Raw genomic sequence first — 18,745 nt, forward strand, 5'->3', positions numbered from 1 at the left:
AACACATTGCATGTATATAAAAATTGTTCACACTTTTAGTGGTGCTTACTGGGTATTGGTAAAGGATTGAGTAGGCACTGTGATGAAACTTCACAAAGCAGATGGAAAAGATGCATTAATAGCCACAGGGGGCAGGGTAAGGGAGCAATTCAGGAAAATGGAGAGGCTTAGCTAAAATTTGTCAGTCAGGAATTTTGGCATTTGAGACTTGTTTTCATACTATGTATATGTAATAGACAAACCCTTCATTTTGTAGTAACAGTGTTAGAACAGCCAGGTGCCTGAAGGCAAGCGACACAATTCACTGAAGAGCATACTACAGATGTAGTATCCGGATATCAAGTTTCCCCACTTAAAAAATGGGTGCGATCAAAGGAAAAGCAAGGAACGGGCAGGAGAGCAAGCGTGAAAGGTGACAAACTTGACAATTACAAGGCCGAGACTAAGGCCAATTTAGGGAACGGGCTGTTAGACTAGGAACAAGGGCGAGTTCAGAGGGAGGGGCAGAATGTGGGCAGCACTCCTGGGCCCTGAGACCCTTCTGCGGAATAAAACTCTGGCACTTCGCCACCTCCTAGGCTGAACCAAGATGGCGCGCGGCCTCAAAGCGGCGCTCTCGTCACGTGCCCGGACCCGAGGCGCTTGGGGGCGGGAGGCGTGGCCTCGGTCGCGGCAGCCCAGCCCCGCCTAGGGGGCGGAGCCGGGGGGGGTTGTCCGCGGAGGAAGGGGGCGGGGCCCCGCGGCCGCGCGCTTGGGCGGCGGAGGCTGCAGCTACCTCGGCGCCGGCTCGGCTCTAGGACGTGTCGGGCTGCACGGGTCGGGGGCGGCTCCCTGCTGCTTCCGAGCCTAGCCGCCTGGCCTTCGGCATTTGCAGGCAGGTGAGCGCCCAGAGCCTGGACTGGGGTAGGATGCGTCTTTTCCCCATCTCCAGCTCCCCTCGACAGTTTGGGGAGGGGTCTCGTCTATCGCACCTCGGGAAACAGCCCTTTTTGACTCCGTATGTGCTACCTCCGGCAGGCGTCGGTACTGCTTACCCTGCCGCCCCTCGCCCTCCTTTGCGGTGCCCTGTGCCCTTGGGGGTGAGGATAGGGGCGATGCCTGATCTGCGGGGAGGGCGTGGAGTGCGCCCTCTGCTCCATCGGCTTCAGGGGAGGGGGCCGAGTTGGCGAGTCTCCCGGTGGGAACGGAGCAGACTGCGCCCCCATTTCCCCTCCAGGAGAGTCAGAAAAAGCGCCTCTCGGCTCCGGGGCCAACCCCACTCCTTTGGGGACGCGATTCTGATGGGCTGAGGTCTTCGCTCTTCGCGGGGGTCTTAATCTTTCCCGAGTTGCTCATAGCACCCCTGTTCCTGTCGCTAGCTCTCCATTCCTCGAACTGCCAGCCTCAGTCTGTGCCAGAGATGCCCCCATCTCCGCAGTGCCAGGGCGGTGGGGTGGAAGGAGCGGCCAACCCGAGGCCTGGTGGGGGTGGGGACAGGGGTGGGCGCAACAGGAAAAGAGGGCTGGAATAGAGATGCCTGAACTGGGAGGGTGGGAGTGGGGCGCTGACTTACGTCCACGCAGTAGGGATGTTTTCCAGCGCAGATTTTGAGGTTTTGATGGTGGGTGGGAAGAGAGAGGTCGGGCTGGAGGACTTGGAGACATGGTGTAGGTGGTTTTCTTCGAGAAGGAGGAGGGATCCAGGACAAGGTGCCACTAGGAGCTGATGTCACCTTTGAGGAGAGGTGTGCTGGTAGTTTCCATCAGAGGAGCAGGAGAGTTGGGGCCGTTCTGTGTGGAGAGCAAGTGGTTAAGGAGGCGCTGCTTCGCAGGGAGATCCCCTCCTGGTGTGAGCTTAAGGGTCCCCTCCAGGAGCCAGGTTTCAGGGATTTCCCATAGTCCTTTCCAGAGTTCTTGGATCTGGTACCTAGTACTTTGCTCAACATCCAGCAAACATTTGTTGGACACCTACTATCTGCCAGATACTATGCTCGGTGCTAGGTCTTCTGAAGGCAATTTACAGCCACGGAGTAGCTGAAAGGTACACATAGGAGGCACACATAGCAGGTATTCTGTTAACACCCTTCTCACCGCCCATCCCCATTCTGTTACATTGCTGTTGGATTAGAAAAAGAAAGAACTGTGTCCACGTGCTTTCAAACAGCTGTCTGAATTAGACTCCAACCTACACACCCCCTACCACTATTAACTGGCCAGGTAGTCCCAGGGAAGCTGCCTAAGCAAAAGGGCAGCTTGAATGATTTCCCTTGGTTATTTTCTCAGATTTTGTCCTGAGGCTTGAGGAGGCTTCGTGGGGTAAACGGTATCTCAAAGTAAGGAGATAATGAATGACAAAATGGTTATTGGGGGCCAAGAATGTCCTAGACACTCTGTGTAGTGGGAGACGCCATCTCTGGAAGATGGAATAGTGTGGGGGAGGAGGGTGTAGAAGGGAATTCGCATCCAGTGGAGTTGGGGTTTGTGCTGCTGAGCATGTCGTGATGTCAGAACCGTGTGGTGCATGAGGTCTGGCTGCTGGGCTGTAAAGGAGGGCTGGAGGGGCAGGGCATGGCAGGCAGCCAGGCTCCTGGGTCTCATCTCTGAGTTGATTGCTGAAATCTTAGAGTTGGAAAGAGTTGTCAGGGATGGCTTATAGGTCCTCACAGAGCCTCTGAGGATGGCAGAGCTAGAGCTAGGCAAGAGAATGAGTAGTCAGGCTGTGGTGGTGATGAGGTGGGGATGAAGGCTCAGCAGGGCTGGGGAGCTGGGTGTTAAGGGGGTTTTAAGATATGGGCAGCTAGCCGAGGCCTTCGAATGCCAAGGACATTCTTCCCTGGGCTTTAGGCCCTACTGTGTTGGCTCCATAGGTGAGTTGCTGTAGAAACAAGGTGTGGCAATTGAGTGGTATGGGGTGTGTGTGTGTGTGCACACGCGTGTGTGAGTGTGTGTGCTTGTGCATGTGTTGGAGAGGAGGAGAGGTGAGGAGCAGGGAGGACTGAGGGAGTGAAAGCTGCCTCAAAGTCTGGGTCCTACGTAGGGAATTGAGAGAAATGGAGGGGAGGGAGTGGGGTCAGAGGGAGGGACAAGTGTGTATTGCAGCCACATGAAGTCACCATCTGTCCCCCTCTGGCCTGCTAGCTCACGGACCTATAATTAGCTCTGGAGGGCATACGGTGCTGGCTCACAGGAGCGTGGGACTTCGGGTGGCCAGCAGAGTGGAGGATTCAGAGGGACCATGGTCCTTGATGTACTGTGGAAGGGGCTGCTTCTAGGGGACCCTCTGCATTTGCTGTACTGGGAGGGGCCTGAGGCAACTGAGAATGTCACAGGGACAGGGCTGGTGGGGGAAACAGCAGTGGGGGAAGGAGCTCTAAGCGAGGATGGCAGGAGACTCCAGGGCTGGTCTGAGCCTGAGACCTCCCCGTTTGTTGCCTGGCTGCTGGCCCACTGCACAAGAAGCACGATTGCTGCCCAGCTCATTGCTCTGCCTTCAGAGAGGCTCGGGTGCTGCAACCTCGGGGCCTCCTTGAGGTGTCTCCATCCCCCCAGGTGAAGTCAGCTGTAGCGTGGAATAGCCATCTGCCTTTCACTTGGTGGCTGAGAGGCCTTGGCTGGGGATGCTTCGTTCTGAGAGAGTTGGAGGAGAAGCTGCCACCAGTTAATTCCGTTGGTCAAACTCCACGTGGTGCTCAGCACTGACCCCCTGGCTGTGCCAGAGACTGAGTGTTTGGTCACATGCTTCTCTGTACTGCTCTCCAGTGATTACATGTGTATCTGTGTTCTCTCAAGTAGCCTGTGAACTTTCTGTCTTACATGTCTTTTGCTTTCATAACAGTATCGGATGCATGGAAATCACTCAGTAAGTGATCATTGGATTGAATTGAAGAGGTCTGTCTTCTGATCCCCTGAGTTCCATGAAGCAGGGCCTCCTTGCCACTGGAGATATTTAACCTGGAGCAGCGAAGCCTCTGGGGACCCAGGACACTGGTGTTACATCCCTTTGGGGGCATTAGATTCTGTGGGCAGTAGATGAAGTGAAAACTTCCCAGTCTCTCATAAAGCATGGCATATGGGTTTATAACCCTGAACAGTAATATGAATGTATAGATATGGTATATATGTATTCTATATTATGTAAATAGATACTGTATATACTACTGTAGAGTGATTTTACAAAGAGTGCATACGCACAATATGATTTTGTAGTGAAGTGTCAGATGAAATAGCTGATTTGATTTTAGAGGCCTTTATTGCTTATTTCGCCCAGCTGTTAAGAGTTGAATTCTCATAAGTTAGATATATACTTGATGTGCCTTCATGGCCACTGTCTTCAGATAGATAACTGTCATTTCAAAGAGAGATGGGTTTTCCATTCAATTTAAGAAAAAGCTTCCTTAGAACGATGAAGCCTTCCTCATTTGATAGTGAGCTGCTTGTTCCTGAAGGATAATCAAGTCAAGACTGGGCTGCCAGGGATGTTGTGAAAGGAACTCCCACACAGGGTGGGAAGTGGCCTGTGTGACCTCCGAGAGCCCTTCTGAGTCCAGGTGTGAGGTGAGGCTGGATGGGAGAGGGCCTCAGCAGCTGCTTCAGAAGATGGCTCTCCTTTGGCCTAGAGGAGCGCTGCTGGGAGTGGAGGCCTGGGGAGTGGGGCCGGGCCTGGAGCTTTGCATGAGCTGTTCCGTGAGGAGTGGGCATTTTGGGACATGCAGGGGGGTGACCCCAGAAATCTCATGGACATGGAGGCCTGGGCTTGGGAGATGGTGCAGTGCATCCCTGATGGGTGGGGGTAGGTAGAAAGATGGGATGGCCCCAGTTCCATGACTTCAGCTTAAACTAGGCTAGTTGTGGAGTGCCCCAAATTTTTGGTCCTACTTTGGGGCAGAGCCCCTGGAGTAAGTGGAGCTTTCATTCTTTCAGTATCACCCCATCCCTCCCTCCTCTCTCGATTATACCTTCTCACATAGGTTCGAGGCCACACGTGGACTTACGCTGTCTCATGAGCAGCAATACACTTTCATGATCACACACGCATACTTGCACAAGCTCTCACAGCTCCCATGTGCTCCTGGGAGCATGTATGATGTTATGAATCCCAGATGCTTATGCATGTATGACCACACACATTTACTGTCATGGCTGTGTACCCACACATGTGTTCTCATGACCACAATTATATGCAGTCAAGATCCCTGATGTACTTATGACCACACACATCTACACACTGTCATGAGTCTATATACCTACTTGCTCTCATGCCTGTGCTCTCAGGATGCCATTCTTATGACCATACCTTTATACACAGACATACATACAACATATACTCTCTCTCTCTCTCGGTCCCCTTTTCCCCTCTCTCTCCCTATTGCCCAGGCTGGAGTGCAGTGGCATGATCATGGCTCACTGCAGCCTCAACCTCCTGGGTTCAAGTGCTCCTCCCACCTCAGTCTCCCGAGTAGCTGGGAATACAGGTGCATGCCACCATGCCCAGCTAGTTTTCATATTTTTAGTAGAGATGGGGTTTTGCCATGTTGCCCAGGCTGGTTTCTAAGTCCTGAGCTTAAGCAATCTCCCTGCCTTGGCCTTCCAAAGTGCTACTGCACCGAGGGCTTATGCCCGAGGCATGAACTACCACTGCACTGGCTTCTCTTCCTTTTTCATGGCCACACATATATACCATGCGTTCTCATGATCACACACACACTCTGTTGCATGACGACACATGACACCCCCCCATTCTCTTTTCGTACTGCCCGCCACTTCTGTGACCACATACTAATGCACATTTTTTATGATGCCTACATTCCTCCCTGCAGTTCTGTACTCTGGACATTTTACACCTGGTGCCTATTAGCACTCCGGACCCGTCCTCTTCTCTCCTCTGCGATGGCTCCCTAATCTGATGGGTTGATCTACGAATGCAGTGACTTTGAGCATTTTTTTACCACCAGAGGACCCTGTTTAATATTTGTCCCACATGGATCCCTAGTTTTGAAATATTTTTATTCTCCAAATTTGCTATGCTTATTACTTTGTTTCTTCTTCTGCAAACATTATTTGAGGACATTTGTGTTGATTAATGGCTCTGATTAGCAGAAGATGTCTAGGGTTTTCTCTGGGAATGTACTTAATGATGTAAGTTCAGCAAAAGCTGTGTCTGTATTCGGTGGTGCAGACTCATATTTTGACTTAGTAACTATATGATCTCTATTAGACAGTTAGAGTGTGGAAAATGGTTGGCTCCTGGTGTTACTTGTGTAGCATTCCCAGGGTTGTCACTGTTGCACTGATGTACAGCCTTTCTGAGAGAACGTGTGTGTGTGTGTGTGTGTGTGTGTGTGTTTTAGCAGGGGGCTTCTGTAGACAATATTTAAACTAGGGATTTTCTAACCTCTTCATGGACTTGGAATCCTTTTATACAATTGAAACCTTAATCAGATGTCCCATAAAACGGACAGATTAGGAGTTGATGGGATTAAAGTAAGAAAAGGGAATTTAGAGCCTTTTGAGTTTGTCACACCTCTTCACCCTCCTTTTGGCCTTGGACTGCCCCTAAAGGTACTTTGTCGTAAAGCCTAGTTTGCAAACACCAGTCTTAAGTTAAAAAGGTAGGTGTGATGTCTATAATTTTGGGTATTTCAGAAGAGGAACTATTTGCGGATGGGGGCCCAGAGGCTTGTAGTTCTCCCTTCCCCGCTTTTTTGTTGTTGTTGTTGTTTTTGAAATAGGGTCTTGCTCTGTTACCCAGGCTGGAGTAAGTAGTGTGATCTTGGCTTACTGCAGCCTCCATCTCCTAGGCTTAAGTGATCCTCCCACTTCAGCCTCCTGAGTAACTGGGACTGTAGTCTGTAGACGCATGCCGCTGTGCCCAGCTAACATTTTTTTTTTTTTTTTTTTTTTAAGAGAGGATGTCTCACCATGTTGCTTAGGCTGGTCTTGAACTCTTGGGCTCAAGCAGTCTTTCACCTCATCCTCCCAAAGTGCTGGGATTAGAGGCATGAGCTACCATGCCCGGCCTTCCCCATTAGTTTTGACATTAGTCCTACTAGGGTGGCAATGGCAAGGGTGACCATATGGCTAGGTGAAACCTGTGTTCTGGTGTGATTGTTAACAGTGGTTTACTGTCTAAACCATGACCCTCTAAACCAAGAGGATCATGGTTTAGACAGTAAGTTCTGTGCTCACTCAAGTGATAGGCCATGTCTTGGGAAGAGGTGGCCCATGTCTAACTCCTGGGGAGCAGCTGGAGAGCTGGGCTTCACAGACTCAGGCCCAGGGGAGCCTGTCTGAACAGATGCTTCCTTCCGTGTCCCCTGAATGAGCCTGGCATTAGGAGGCTGAGTGTATTCGGCAGCTGGTACTAACCTGTGCTTGGGCGGCATTTTATACTTCTCAGAACTGTTTCATGTCTGTTACCTCTTTGAGCCTCATGACAACCTGTGAGAGCACTGGAGCGTATTGTGTGTTATAATGTTCATTTTCCAGATTTGGGAACCTGATCACAGAGGGGTAAAGTCTCACTGCTAGTCGTGTTGGGGGCCCAGAGAACTGGATGCTTTTGAAGGGATCTGTGGCTAGCAGTGGAAACTCTTAAGTGGGGCTTTTCCAAGAGTTTTTTCTCTGGGAATGGCTTCCTGTAGCCAGAATAGATTTGTAATTTTCTTATTGTAGTTCAGTGGGCCCAGCCTTGAGGCGCTTTGGGAGCCTAGGGTGCTGAGAGTTCATGAACACTTACCGAGTTTTGCTGGGTGCTGATCTCAGCACTTTGTGTAGGCTGACTCTAGACATCCTGTGTCCCAGCTGTCTGAGGTGGGTACTGTTATCATTCCCATTCACAGAGGTTGGGGAATGGAAGCTCAGAGAGATTCAGGATCTTCCCAGGGTCACCTGCATCATCAGCTGCTCTGGAGTCTGCCTTTCAAGACAGGAGCAGCCCCCATCTTGCTCTCAAGAAGGTTTAATTTTCAGACCAGGTGTGGTGGCTCACACCTATAATACTAGCACTTTGGGAGGCCGAGGTGGGCAGACAGCTGAGGTCAGGAGTTCAAGACCACCCTGGCCAAAATGCTGAAATGCCATCTCTACTAAAAATAAAAAAAATAAAAATAGCCAGATGTGGTGGCGTGCACCTGTAATCCCAGCTACTCGGAGGCTGAGGCAGGAGAATCACTTGAACCCGGGAGGTGGCCATGTCAGTCCTGTTTTGGAGTTCCCCTTCTTTGAAGTCAGTCAGGGATGGACTGCCCTGGAACGACTGTCAGCACAGGTCTGTTCAGTTCCATGGGTGTTAGGGCCCTGTGTTAGAGTACTCAGAGATGGGTCTACAGATGAGATGATGTAAAGTAAGAGAAGCCCCTTGAAGAGAGGTATAACTAGAGGGCAATGCTGGGTCAGCGGAAGGGCAGATCTCACACACTGGAGGGATCAGAAGAGACTCCATGGAGGAAGTGGTGTTTGAGATGAGCTTAGCAAGGTGATCTAAGCTCATGAGACCAACATGGAAAGGGAGATGAGAGGCAGGCCAGTGAGGAGCTGGGCAAACAGGAGCTATAGGTGGGTCCTGGGAGCAGACCTCAGTGAGCAGGGCTAGGGAAGGGCTAGGGAGCAGCAGGAGAGGAGGTAGGGCTGGATTTCTGGAGGAGAGGATGGGTGAGGGCCAGGCTTCTGGGGGTACAAAGCTAGACAGGGAAGAAGGAGAAGCTTCTGGGCAGCCTGAGGCATGGGCAGCTGGGCTGCAGGCCCACGTTGGGGAGAATGTCTGAGAGCCCCAAGGACGAGGGCTCCGAAGAGTGTCTGTTTCTGCAGCGCCTATGGGAGTGGGGGGCAGTGGGGGGAACTCAGGGAAGCTGCCTACAACTTGGTGTGGAGCCAGCTAGGGGCTGGGAGCAGAGATTTGGGTGCGTGGAGGATGGGGCCTTCCAGTGGGGCCTTTCAGTCACCCATGGCCTCATGACCATGTTGGCTGCTCTGCAGAGGCCTTCCCCAGGCTGGAGGAGGAGGACAGGGAAGGCCGAGGGGAGCTGTCCTCCGGCTGCCATCACCCTGATGAGGGTGGGGAAGGTTTCTTGGAGAAGACATGAAGTCTGAAGGAGTTGTCTTTACCCTCTCTCTTCTTCCTCCTTCTACCCCTCTTTGGCATGAGACAGACAAATTGAATCCTGGTTCTTCATTTCACTAGCTGTGTAGACTTGGTTACATGACGTTGCATCTCAGTTCTCACTTCTGTGAAATGGGAAGAATAATTACATCTTCCTTGCAAATAATTATGAGGATTAAAATAAATTAATCCATACCACTTGGAAGCACAGTGCTGGGCACATGGTAAATGTGAGTGACTTACAGCAGCTCTGGCGACCATTATTTTTCTGGAAGACCCCCGCCCTCCCCATTTCTTCAGATCCTCCTCTCACCTCCAGCTGGGTGGGTGTCCGACCCTCCTGTTTTCCCTCGTGGCTGCCACCTGGAGGCTCCCTTTTTGCCCAGCTGAATAGCCCCTCAGACGCTCCTAGCGGCCCTGCCCCGGGCTGTGGTCTCCGCAGGGGCTGGCAACCTTGCCTTTGTCCAGCTCTCTCCGTGGCCAGGCCTGCCATCTGGTAGGCAGGAGGGAGCCAGGCCTGTGTGTGGGGCCAGCCAGAGCAACAGACCCAAATGCCCATCCCTCCTGTGTGTTAGGAAAAGGTGGGGGTGACTTTTGGGATGCCAAAGAGGCCCCCAAGTTACCTCTTTTGTGTTTCTAAAGGCCCAAGGCCTACTTTTTGTCCAATCCCCCACCCCCACACACGCACACTCACACCCACTCACTCTTGAGCCCTCTTCCTCTGTTTCACAGCCTGCCCACACTCCTCCCCGGCAAAGCCCCTTGCAAATGCTTGCTTTGGGGACTGGCAGCTTTCGCCTCTGAATCAGGACCTGTGAGTGTTACTTAGAAATTGTGCGGGAGTTGAGGAGGCTTCTGTTAGGCTGAGATGATAATTGCGCTATTTAAAGACGGCCCTGGAGCCAGAAGGAGCTGGAAGGAGCCAGGTGCCCCACGTGGCTGTCCTGGGGCTCCCTTCTGCTCACTGTTTCTGTGTAGCAGAGAGGACAGGGGCAGGAGGTCCTGGACAGTCATCTCAGGGGCATCTTGCCTGGCAGTCCTCTCTGGGCTATCTTCAGACCAGCTTTACATGATGCCATTTGGCCAGGGGAAGTGGAGTTGCTCGCTGGCACCTGGTTTAGAGAGAGGCCAGGAAAGGGCTAGTGAGAAGAGAAGCAACCAAAGCCAGCTTCTCAGTTGCTAAAATGACCAGGAGGATTTGGGGAGGCCAAGTTGGACCAGATAGCCAGTACCTCACAGTGGGCAGCCTGAGGTCCTGTTCTTCCTTCCTGAGAACTTCTCCAGCCCCTTTCCTGTAAGAAGCTTTAAAAACTCCACCCACAGGTGGCCAACACTAAGGTAATTCACATTCCCGTGCAATCACAGGGTGCTTTCTACTCTTCATTTGCTGCCCAGCCATGATCTCATCCCTCTAAGGAAGGCAAAACCAGGGTTGTGGGTTTTGTCTTGTAGCCGAAGCCTCAGTAGGTGATAACAAGCCTGAGATCAGCCAGCTGGTCTGTGGCAGGACTGTACCCCAGTCTCCTGAGTCCCTGCTCTGGGCTTCTTCCTTTATGCTATGCTACGGGCTGCCTGGGGATCTGCTGGGCTGGGGCCATTCCTGGGATACCTAAGCTCCTTCCTGGCACACTACAGTCTTCTCCAAAGTTAGCCTCTGCCACAAGGGGCCCCTTCCCTAGCCTAGTCTTCTCTTTTGGCCTCTCGTGGCATCTTGGTGTGTGTGGAGGGGTGGGGGAAGATGGGGAGGTGGGCCTGGATGTGGATGAGCTTGGGGGGGTAGGCTGGGGCCATATGGCCTTTCAGCCTCAGGGCTGGAGCATTCAGGGTGGAGGGACCTGGGCATGGTGGGTGGGAGAATTGGAGGAACGGCTGTTATCAGCATCAGGGAGATGGCAGCTCTGGACAGACTGGGGCAGCAGCCCCTCCTCTCCACTCCCAGCTGCTCTGAGGAGCAGGGAGGTGCGAGTAGGCTGCCCTGGCAGCAGCAGTGTTGGGGAAAGGAGGAGGCAGACCAAGCTTCTACTTTTTACTTCTGTAGCCTTCTGGGACCCTGCCCTCCACAGTGGCTGTCTGGCTTGGGGAAGGATCCCCTTGACCAGAGTTTGTGTCCAGTTTCTATGCATGGGAGTGTGTATGTGGCCACATGTGTATCTGTTCTAGGTCTCTGTGTTTCTATCTTGGGGCATGTGTGTGTGCATGCCCACGTGCCTGCTTGCACTACTGCGCCCCTCTGGGAAGGGCTGCGAGTGTGAGCTCTGAATTTTCAAGCTGGTGCACTAACTTTCCTCAGATCTAGACCCCACATTGCTCCCTAGTCTCCCTCTTCCTTTCCCCTGTTTCTGCCTAGAGCATCAGTACTCTGGGGAGGGGGTCCAGGTAGGAGAGGCCCGGCCCTTCTCTCTTTTCCCTGCTGGGTTCAGTCCTGCCACAGGCCTGTGCAGTGTCTGACCTCTTACCTCACACTGGGTCCTGATGCTTCTTGTCCACCCTGACCCTCCTAGTCTGCCTGTTATTCTCACCCCGAGGGTAGACAGAAGGCTTTCATTGTGTCTCCCATAAGATAAGAGAGAGGGGAAGGAGGGAAAATATCATTTTTGGGCCACCTCCAGTGTGCCTATTGCTGTGCTGAGGGCTTCACACCCCTTCTGTCCTGCAACTGGGACCTCTGAAGACAGTCCTCTCTGAAAAACGACTAAGGTGGTAGCTTTCTAACGTAGACAGGGAGGTTGGAATCTGATTGTAGGCAGAGAAATCCCTCGCTGCATGCGGCCTTTTTCTCATTACTTTCCTGTTACTTCATCGCCGGCTTCCTTTGCTCTGACCATTGGGCTCCTGTGCCAGGCTCAACGTATCAGCAGAGCCAGGCTATGCACATGCTGACTGACCTCACTGGTGACTTCTGCAGTGTCAGCAATGGGTAATGACGCCAAGAGAGCAGATTCTCAGCCATGATAGGGGCCACACTGTAGCCCCACCCTAGGAGAGTGGCACCCTGCACCTCTATATCACCCCTGGGTTCCTTTCCATCATTCAGTCCCTGCTCTGATGCAAAGGTAGGAGGCTGTGAACTCCGAATCCAAGCCTGCTGTCTGCTAGGCCTGCGTGCTGTCCTCCTTGGCAGGTTTTGGAAATGGGGAATGACTTGAGCCAGAGCCTCCTCCCTGAATTATGGGCAATGTAGCAGGTCAGGGCTCTCTGCCTGCCCCAGTACCCAGTCTGTGCCTCTCCAAACCCTTAGCCATGTTGTGCCAGTATCCAGGGCAGGAACTACTCTGCCCCTGTTTCCTAGGACCCCAAGAGTCCAGCCTTTAGGACTCACAGCCACTCCCACTAAGAGTCCTTTCTACCCATCTGCATTTGCCTTGGTTGGCTTAAGTGATGGGGAAAAGGTTGGGGGTGGCACAGAGACCCTATTTCCTCCCCTCCAACCCCCAGGTCTCAGGAGGACTCTGGGCATCCTGCCGGCTGCTCCCCTGCCGCTGACTGAATCATTTCTATATTTGGCCAGTGAGCCACGTGGGTAGGGGAACCACTGCCACTGCGGCTGCACTTCTGACAGCTGTGGGGAGCAGGGGGAGGCAGAGGCTGGGCAGTAGGCATGTGCATTCCTTGGGAGAACTAAGGAGGTGCCATCAGAGTGAGTAAGCCTGGAGAAGGGGCATGCGCCAGCACCTCCCTCTCCTCCCCCATGTTCTAGTTCAGGTCCTGTCTCCTCTGCTCCACCCCCTCCCCTGATGCCCTTCTCCACCCAGTTGGTACTCACAGCAGTCTCTTTTCCCACAGACACACTGCCCTCCAGAAACGATGGGTGTCGCTAGATCCAGCTGGGACTCTGCCAGCCTCCGGCACTCAGTCTAAGAGAAGGGCCATCTTCCAGCCCTGCTGTCCCTGCCTGTCATGGCCACATTCGGCTGCTGTCTGCATGTCTGGGGACACAGGGCACCCAGCCCCAGCCCTGAGAAGTTAAGCCAGGCCTTCTGGCTCAGTTCCACAGGGGCACTCCAGACCCCAGGCCCCTTTCAGAGCAAAAGCAACTGATGCTATGGGAGAAGCCCCTGCCCACCTGTCCACTCGCCTGGCACTGCCCACTCTGAGACCCATGCACTGGGTTCCCCTGGAGGTGCCAACCCTGTGAGTCCCTCCCTGTCCCCTGACGCTGAGAAGGCCCTGCCAACCCCCACCATGTGTGAGGTGATGCCCACAATCAATGAGGGGGACCGCCTGGGTCCCCCTCATGGCGCCGATGCTGACGCCAACTTCGAGCAGCTGATGGTGAACATGCTGGACGAGCGGGAGAAGTTGCTGGAGTCTCTTCGGGAGAGTCAGGAGACCTTGGCGGCCACACAGAGCCGGCTCCAGGATGCCATACACGAGCGGGACCAGCTCCAGCGCCACCTTAACTCCGCCCTCCCCCAGGTAAGGCCCGAAGGCCTGCGTCTCTCTTAACCCCTTTCCCTCCTCTAGCCCTGCTAGATCCACTGGGCCCTCAGCTCATCTGCATCTATTTGCATATCAATAATTGGAATTCACTGAGCATTTACTCTCCTTCATCTCTCTACGTGAATTCTTTCCCTGTCACTCCCATGCTCCTCAGTCTGGAAGGTGAAATGGATGGAATTTGATGTGGGTAGAAAAACGCAGCCATAGGTGTCAGCTACAGTGAGCTCAGGCGGCCAGTAGGTGGCACCCTAGACTGGAAAGAAACCTCCTCCCTGCGTACTCCTCTCCAGTGCCCTATTCTTGGAGGTGGGTGGGGAATCACAGACAGTAGAGATGGGTGAGTTCTTAGAGATCATCTCGTCCAGCTCCGTTATTGCATAGATCAAAAAAGCAAGAGACATCACATGGAAGATGATAGGCAGGGCTGAATCTAGCAGCCAGATGTCTCGACATCCTGTCTCACACTCAACAGCACAACCACCAGCTGTCCTGTAGTCCCGTGTACTGTGTCCTTTCTGTGGACCAAGCACTTTATAAGGATTCTCTCACTAAACTCTTACAACCCTGAAGTTGGTGCTGTTACCACCATCATCCCATTGTACAAATCACGGAACTAAAGCTGGGGAGATGAGTAAGTTGCTCGTGGCCATGCAGGTAGTGTGTGGTGGAGGCAGGAACTGAGCCTGGGGCTAAGTTTCTCACCACTGCACCTATTTCTCCCTCACTGCATTGGCCTGGGAGCTCCCTGCTGATGCCTGCTTATCACCCACTTGGTAGATATTCCAGGCATGGCGCATGCTCTGGGAATGCAGGAGGGAGCAGGAGCCTGGATGATTTGGTTCTTGGGCTGTTTAGCTGCTGCTTGTCAAAGAAGCTGTGAACTCTGCCTGATAACCAGACCCAGAGAGGGCTGGGGGTTGTGTGTCTGTGAGACAGTGCTCACAGTGACTGTGGGAACATCCTGCCCTCTCTGCCCCTCGTATGAGCAGAGAGATGGGTATTGAAAGCCAGCTGTGGACACATGGCATAGCCTACCCTGACCCAGTGGGGGCGCTGCTGGGGTTGGGAAGGCAGCCCTGAGGAGCCGAAGAGCTCAAGCCTCAGCGCCAGGCCCTTCCCAGTGTGTGGGGAAGAGAACAAGGGCTGGGCCTGAGTGGGTGAGTTTCCTACACAAAAGTGATGCTTGGTGGACAAGAATACAGAGCCCTGGTGAAGCAGTTGGGTGGGCAGGTGGGGACCTCCTCTTTCACTGTGCACGAGGCTCTGAAGTTGCCCTAGAGTGAATGAACTAGTTCCTGCCACCAAGGAGCTCATAGACTAGGAAGGAGATACACCACCCATGTGACCGGAGAGAATGCAGAGGAAGATAAGAGAGGCCCAAAAGGGTTATTAAGCACAGTATCAGTGATAAAAATAGCTGCTTTTGATGGGCTTGGGCTAAGTGCTTTCTATACATTGGCTCATTTGACTCTCATACCAGCACCTGGAGGGAGGACTGTTACGTCTGTCTTACAGATCAGAGAATGAGGCTCAGAGAGATTAGGTAACTTATTCAAGATCATACAGCTAACAGGGGCAGAGCTGAGATTTGATCCCAGGCCTACTTGACTTCCCACACTGAAGCTTCATGAGGTCAGGGGTTGTGTCTTTCTTGTCACTATATCCCCAGTGATCTGCACAGGACCTGGTACATGATAGGTGCTCACAAATATTTGTGGTTGAATGATGGACTCCCAAGTTGGTGTTCTTGACCACTCCTCCAAATGGCTTTCAGGAGAGGGAGAGAGCCTCCCCGTGGGGAGTCTGGACAGCTCCCAGCAAGGCTGTATCCTTTGAGATGGGCTTTGAAGGATGATTATGATTTCATCGGGTGGTGACAGAGGTTTTTCCAGGGGGAGGGAGTCCACTGAGCCAAGATGTGATATTAGGAAGGCATGCTGGTGTTTAGAAGCAGCAGGTGATCCAGGTTGACTGGGTCTTAGGTGATATGGAAATGACATGAGAGAGAAGTTTGAAAACCAGGATAAGAAGTTTGTATTTGTAGGCTGGGTGCAGTGCCTCACTCCTGTAATCCCAGCACTTCAGGAGGCTGAGGTGGATGGACTGCTTGAGGTCAGAAGTTCAAGATCAGCCTGGGCAATGTGGCAAAACCTCATCTCTACAAAAATCCCCAAAATTAGCTGGGCATGGTGGCAAATGCCTATGCTGCCAGCTACTCGTGGGGCTGAGGTGGGAGGATCGCCTGAGCCCAGGAGGTCCAGGCTGCAGTGAGTTGAAATTGAGTCACTGCACTCCAGCCTGGGTGACAGAGGAGACCGTCTCCTGTGTTTGTAGACAGCATTGTGCTTTGGGAGATTTGTAGACAGCAGGGTGTCAGATAGGTTAGAGGTGGAAGGGAGGGGACAGGTATCCTGTGGTGGGGGGAGATAAGACAGCTGCTGAGCTTGAGGCCAGGAGAGGGGGCAGCACCAGCCTTTTGGTGGTGGTGTCATGGTGTAGGGCTGGGTGGCAGGCTGTCAAGCCCTGTCTCTGGTTACAAGCATGTGTACATGACTGTGTGTGCCTGTGAAAGTGTGACTGTGTTTGTGCATAAGCTGAGGGGTGAGACAGCATCAGGCCTGGGCTTCTGGAGTATGAGATGCTTGACCTTGACCACCTTTGGCCATGGCCCTGACAGAAAGGCAGTAATTGAGTAATAATGTCAGAGGTTCATGGTTTCTCATGCTCTGGCATCTCTTGTCCCTTCTGCCCTCCCACAACCCTTCTAGCCCCTTTTGCCCTATCTGGAGTGATGAGAGGGGATTGGGAGTTCTTCCTTTGGTCATGAATCCTTGGTGTGTGAGGGAGGCTGCAGGTTAGGACAGGGATGAGGCCTGTTGCATCGCTCTTAGACCTTGGACATCCACAGAGTTGGGGCCACTCATTTGAAAACCTCCCTGGAAGGAGGTGATGTTTAGCTAAACAGGATATGATGAGCCTGGAATGTGGGAGCAGTCTCTCACCCCTGTATGCTTGTCCTGATGGGGGAGGGTGGGCTGGCAAGGTCTCTGAAGTTATCTGGGCCTGACAGTGTGGAAATGGGCCCCTCTAGAAGTGATACTTGGTACATGGATATTTGGTAAAGCCAGGGCAACTGCCTTGGCATCAGGAGCTGGGATGTAGCCCTTGCTTGGTTGAGCAGGGCTCCTAGAAAGCCTGACTGGGCAGGTCTGCATACTCTCTTGCTCCTATGTAGGTAGGTCCTTTGATCTGCTTATTTCACCCGCTACTTGCAGTTTGCAAAGCCTTGGGATGGGGCTGGAAGAGCTCCCTGGGGCACTCATGCAGGCATTATCTTCAAAAGCTCTTTCTCTTCCCTGTTTCTTTTATTTATTTATTTTTATTTTTCGAGACGGAGGCTCACCCTGTCGCCCAGGCTGGAGTGCAGTGGTGCCACCTCAGCTCACTGCAACCTCCGCCTCCCGGGTTCAAGTGATTCTCCTGCCTCAGCCTCTGGAGTAGCTGGAATTACCCAGGTGTGCGCCACCACGTCTGACTAATTTTTGTATTTTTAGTCGAGACAGGGTTTCACCATGTTGGCCAGACTGGTCTCAAACTCCTGACCTCAGGTGATCTGCCCGGCTCAGCCTCCCAAAGTGTTGGGATTACAGGCGTGAGTCACTGTGCTGGGCCTTCTCTTCCCTCTTTCATATCCATCAGTTTCTGTTTGGACCTTAATCCACCAAACCAGAAGCAGAATTCCCCTCCATCAGTTTCTAAAGGAAAATGTCATTGAATTCCTGGAGAAATGGAAATGCCAGGTGGGAGGGAGGATGTAATCTGGTCATATTGGTGGCTGGATGGGGAAGGGTCTGCAGAGCAGACTCAGTGACTTTCTCACTCTTGTGTACAACTCTGTTCCCTTGGATTCTAACACATGGAATGCATGGAGGACCCAGAGATGTGGACCCCTCTGGAGAAGCACATGCTAGCTACAGGTTTACTGACCTGCAGTGTGGATGGATTGGGATTTTGTGGGGGAGGTGGTGGAAGTAAGGGATGGGTGAGAGGATCCCACCACTGACTTGCATGTGCAGGACACTGCTTTGGGGGTGAATCCTGAAGCACTGAGGGGCCTTGGGGGTTTTCAGGAATTTGCCACCTTAACCCGGGAGCTGAGCATGTGTCGGGAGCAGCTTCTAGAGCGGGAGGAAGAGATATCAGAACTGAAAGCAGAACGGAATAACACACGGGTAAGTGGGGATGACCTTGTGTCGCGCGCGCGCACGTGTGTGTGTGTGTGTATGGGGGTGTGTTGTGAACACCTTGACCAAGAGAGCAGGCAAGAGTGGGGCCAGGCACAGTCCTAGCTCAAGCCCCATCCTTCCCTCTTCCTGTCTCCCATCCTGGGGTGAGAGTTACATCGTTTAACCACCAGTGCTGGGCTCTCCACCTGTAGTTGCTGGTTCACAGAAAGCTCAGGGTCCTGGGGAGAGGCCGGGGCAGTCACCTTGAGTAGTATCAGTTGGGGCGGGAGCTCTGTGCCCATTTGGAAGTATTTCAGTGTTTTCACAGTGGGGTGGCTGTAACTCATGTCTGCTCGGGGATCACATGGACCCTGCTTGTAGCCCCTGGGGCACATGCTTACAGCCCTCCCTCTCACCCTCCCCTGCTCTCCCTGCCAGCTGCTTCTGGAACATCTGGAGTGCCTGGTGTCCCGCCATGAACGGTCACTGCGGATGACTGTGGTGAAGCGCCAGGCCCAGTCACCTTCGGGGGTCTCCAGTGAGGTGGAGGTGCTGAAGGCCCTCAAGTCACTGTTTGAGCACCACAAGGCCCTGGATGAGAAGGTGCCCACCTGCCCGCCAGCCCCCACATCCAGCCAGGCTGCCCTGGAGCCTCCCATGTATCCCTTCTCTGAGATTTCCACATCCGGTATTTAGGGAGCACTGGCTCCCTCCAAACATTGTCTTAACTTCAAGGTCCTCCTGTTAGGCTCCCTCCTGCAAATGTGCTGCTTAGTAGGCCCTTCACTGTCCTCATGCTCAGTGGTGGTAGACCAAGCCCAGTCTCTTCCAGCCTGACTCAAGTGGGGTCCCCCTTTCTTCCTCCATCTCCCCTTACCTCGAGCAGGTGCGAGAGCGGCTCCGGGCAGCGCTGGAGCGAGTCACCACCTTGGAGGAGCAGCTGGCAGGTGCCCACCAGCAGGTAATCTGCCTGCTCACCCTCAGTCTGCAGCTCCTGGAAGTCC

At 53.1% G+C, this 18,745-nt stretch overlaps 1 protein-coding gene across 10 annotated transcripts in view, besides 6 other annotated features; it reads left to right on the forward strand.

The window, feature by feature from the left end:
- Positions 530 to 839: a silencer, noted in NCBI's record as "silent region_1715". NCBI's record gives its function as "represses an Ori minimal core promoter by ATAC-STARR-seq in GM12878 lymphoblastoid cells {active_cell/tissue: GM12878}" and the evidence as "EXISTENCE:reporter gene assay evidence [ECO:0000049][PMID:35858748]".
- Positions 530 to 1,187: a biological region, named in NCBI's record as "H3K4me1 hESC enhancer GRCh37_chr1:202995545-202996066".
- Positions 666 to 1,187: an enhancer, noted in NCBI's record as "H3K4me1 hESC enhancer chr1:202995545-202996066 (GRCh37/hg19 assembly coordinates)". NCBI's record gives its function as "activates a minimal SCP1, AML or CMV promoter by ChIP-STARR-seq in naive H9 embryonic stem cells {active_cell/tissue: H9 hESC(naive)}" and the evidence as "EXISTENCE:reporter gene assay evidence [ECO:0000049][PMID:30033119]".
- PPFIA4 (PPFI scaffold protein A4) overlaps positions 740 to 18,745 on the forward strand; it is a 52,246-nt gene continuing 34,240 nt past the window's right edge. For all 10 annotated transcript variants that reach the window (NM_001304331.2, NM_001393952.1, NM_001304332.2 and 7 more), the window contains exons 1-5: positions 740 to 878; positions 12,859 to 13,491; positions 17,646 to 17,747; positions 18,180 to 18,344; positions 18,628 to 18,702. In NM_001304331.2, the coding sequence (NP_001291260.1) occupies positions 13,258 to 13,491; positions 17,646 to 17,747; positions 18,180 to 18,344; positions 18,628 to 18,702 (576 nt within the window). In that variant the 5' untranslated portion in view covers positions 740 to 878; positions 12,859 to 13,257. The remainder of the gene's footprint in view (positions 879 to 12,858; positions 13,492 to 17,645; positions 17,748 to 18,179; positions 18,345 to 18,627; positions 18,703 to 18,745) is intronic.
- Positions 13,503 to 13,662: an enhancer, noted in NCBI's record as "active region_2340". NCBI's record gives its function as "activates an Ori minimal core promoter by ATAC-STARR-seq in GM12878 lymphoblastoid cells {active_cell/tissue: GM12878}" and the evidence as "EXISTENCE:reporter gene assay evidence [ECO:0000049][PMID:35858748]".
- Positions 15,344 to 15,845: an enhancer, noted in NCBI's record as "H3K4me1 hESC enhancer chr1:203010223-203010724 (GRCh37/hg19 assembly coordinates)". NCBI's record gives its function as "activates a minimal SCP1, AML or CMV promoter by ChIP-STARR-seq in naive H9 embryonic stem cells {active_cell/tissue: H9 hESC(naive)}" and the evidence as "EXISTENCE:reporter gene assay evidence [ECO:0000049][PMID:30033119]".
- Positions 15,846 to 16,345: an enhancer, noted in NCBI's record as "H3K4me1 hESC enhancer chr1:203010725-203011224 (GRCh37/hg19 assembly coordinates)". NCBI's record gives its function as "activates a minimal SCP1, AML or CMV promoter by ChIP-STARR-seq in naive H9 embryonic stem cells {active_cell/tissue: H9 hESC(naive)}" and the evidence as "EXISTENCE:reporter gene assay evidence [ECO:0000049][PMID:30033119]".

The sequence above is a fragment of the Homo sapiens genome, chromosome 1 (genome assembly GCF_000001405.40).
Source record: "Homo sapiens chromosome 1, GRCh38.p14 Primary Assembly".
In the NCBI taxonomy this organism is placed as follows: domain Eukaryota; kingdom Metazoa; phylum Chordata; class Mammalia; order Primates; family Hominidae; genus Homo; species Homo sapiens.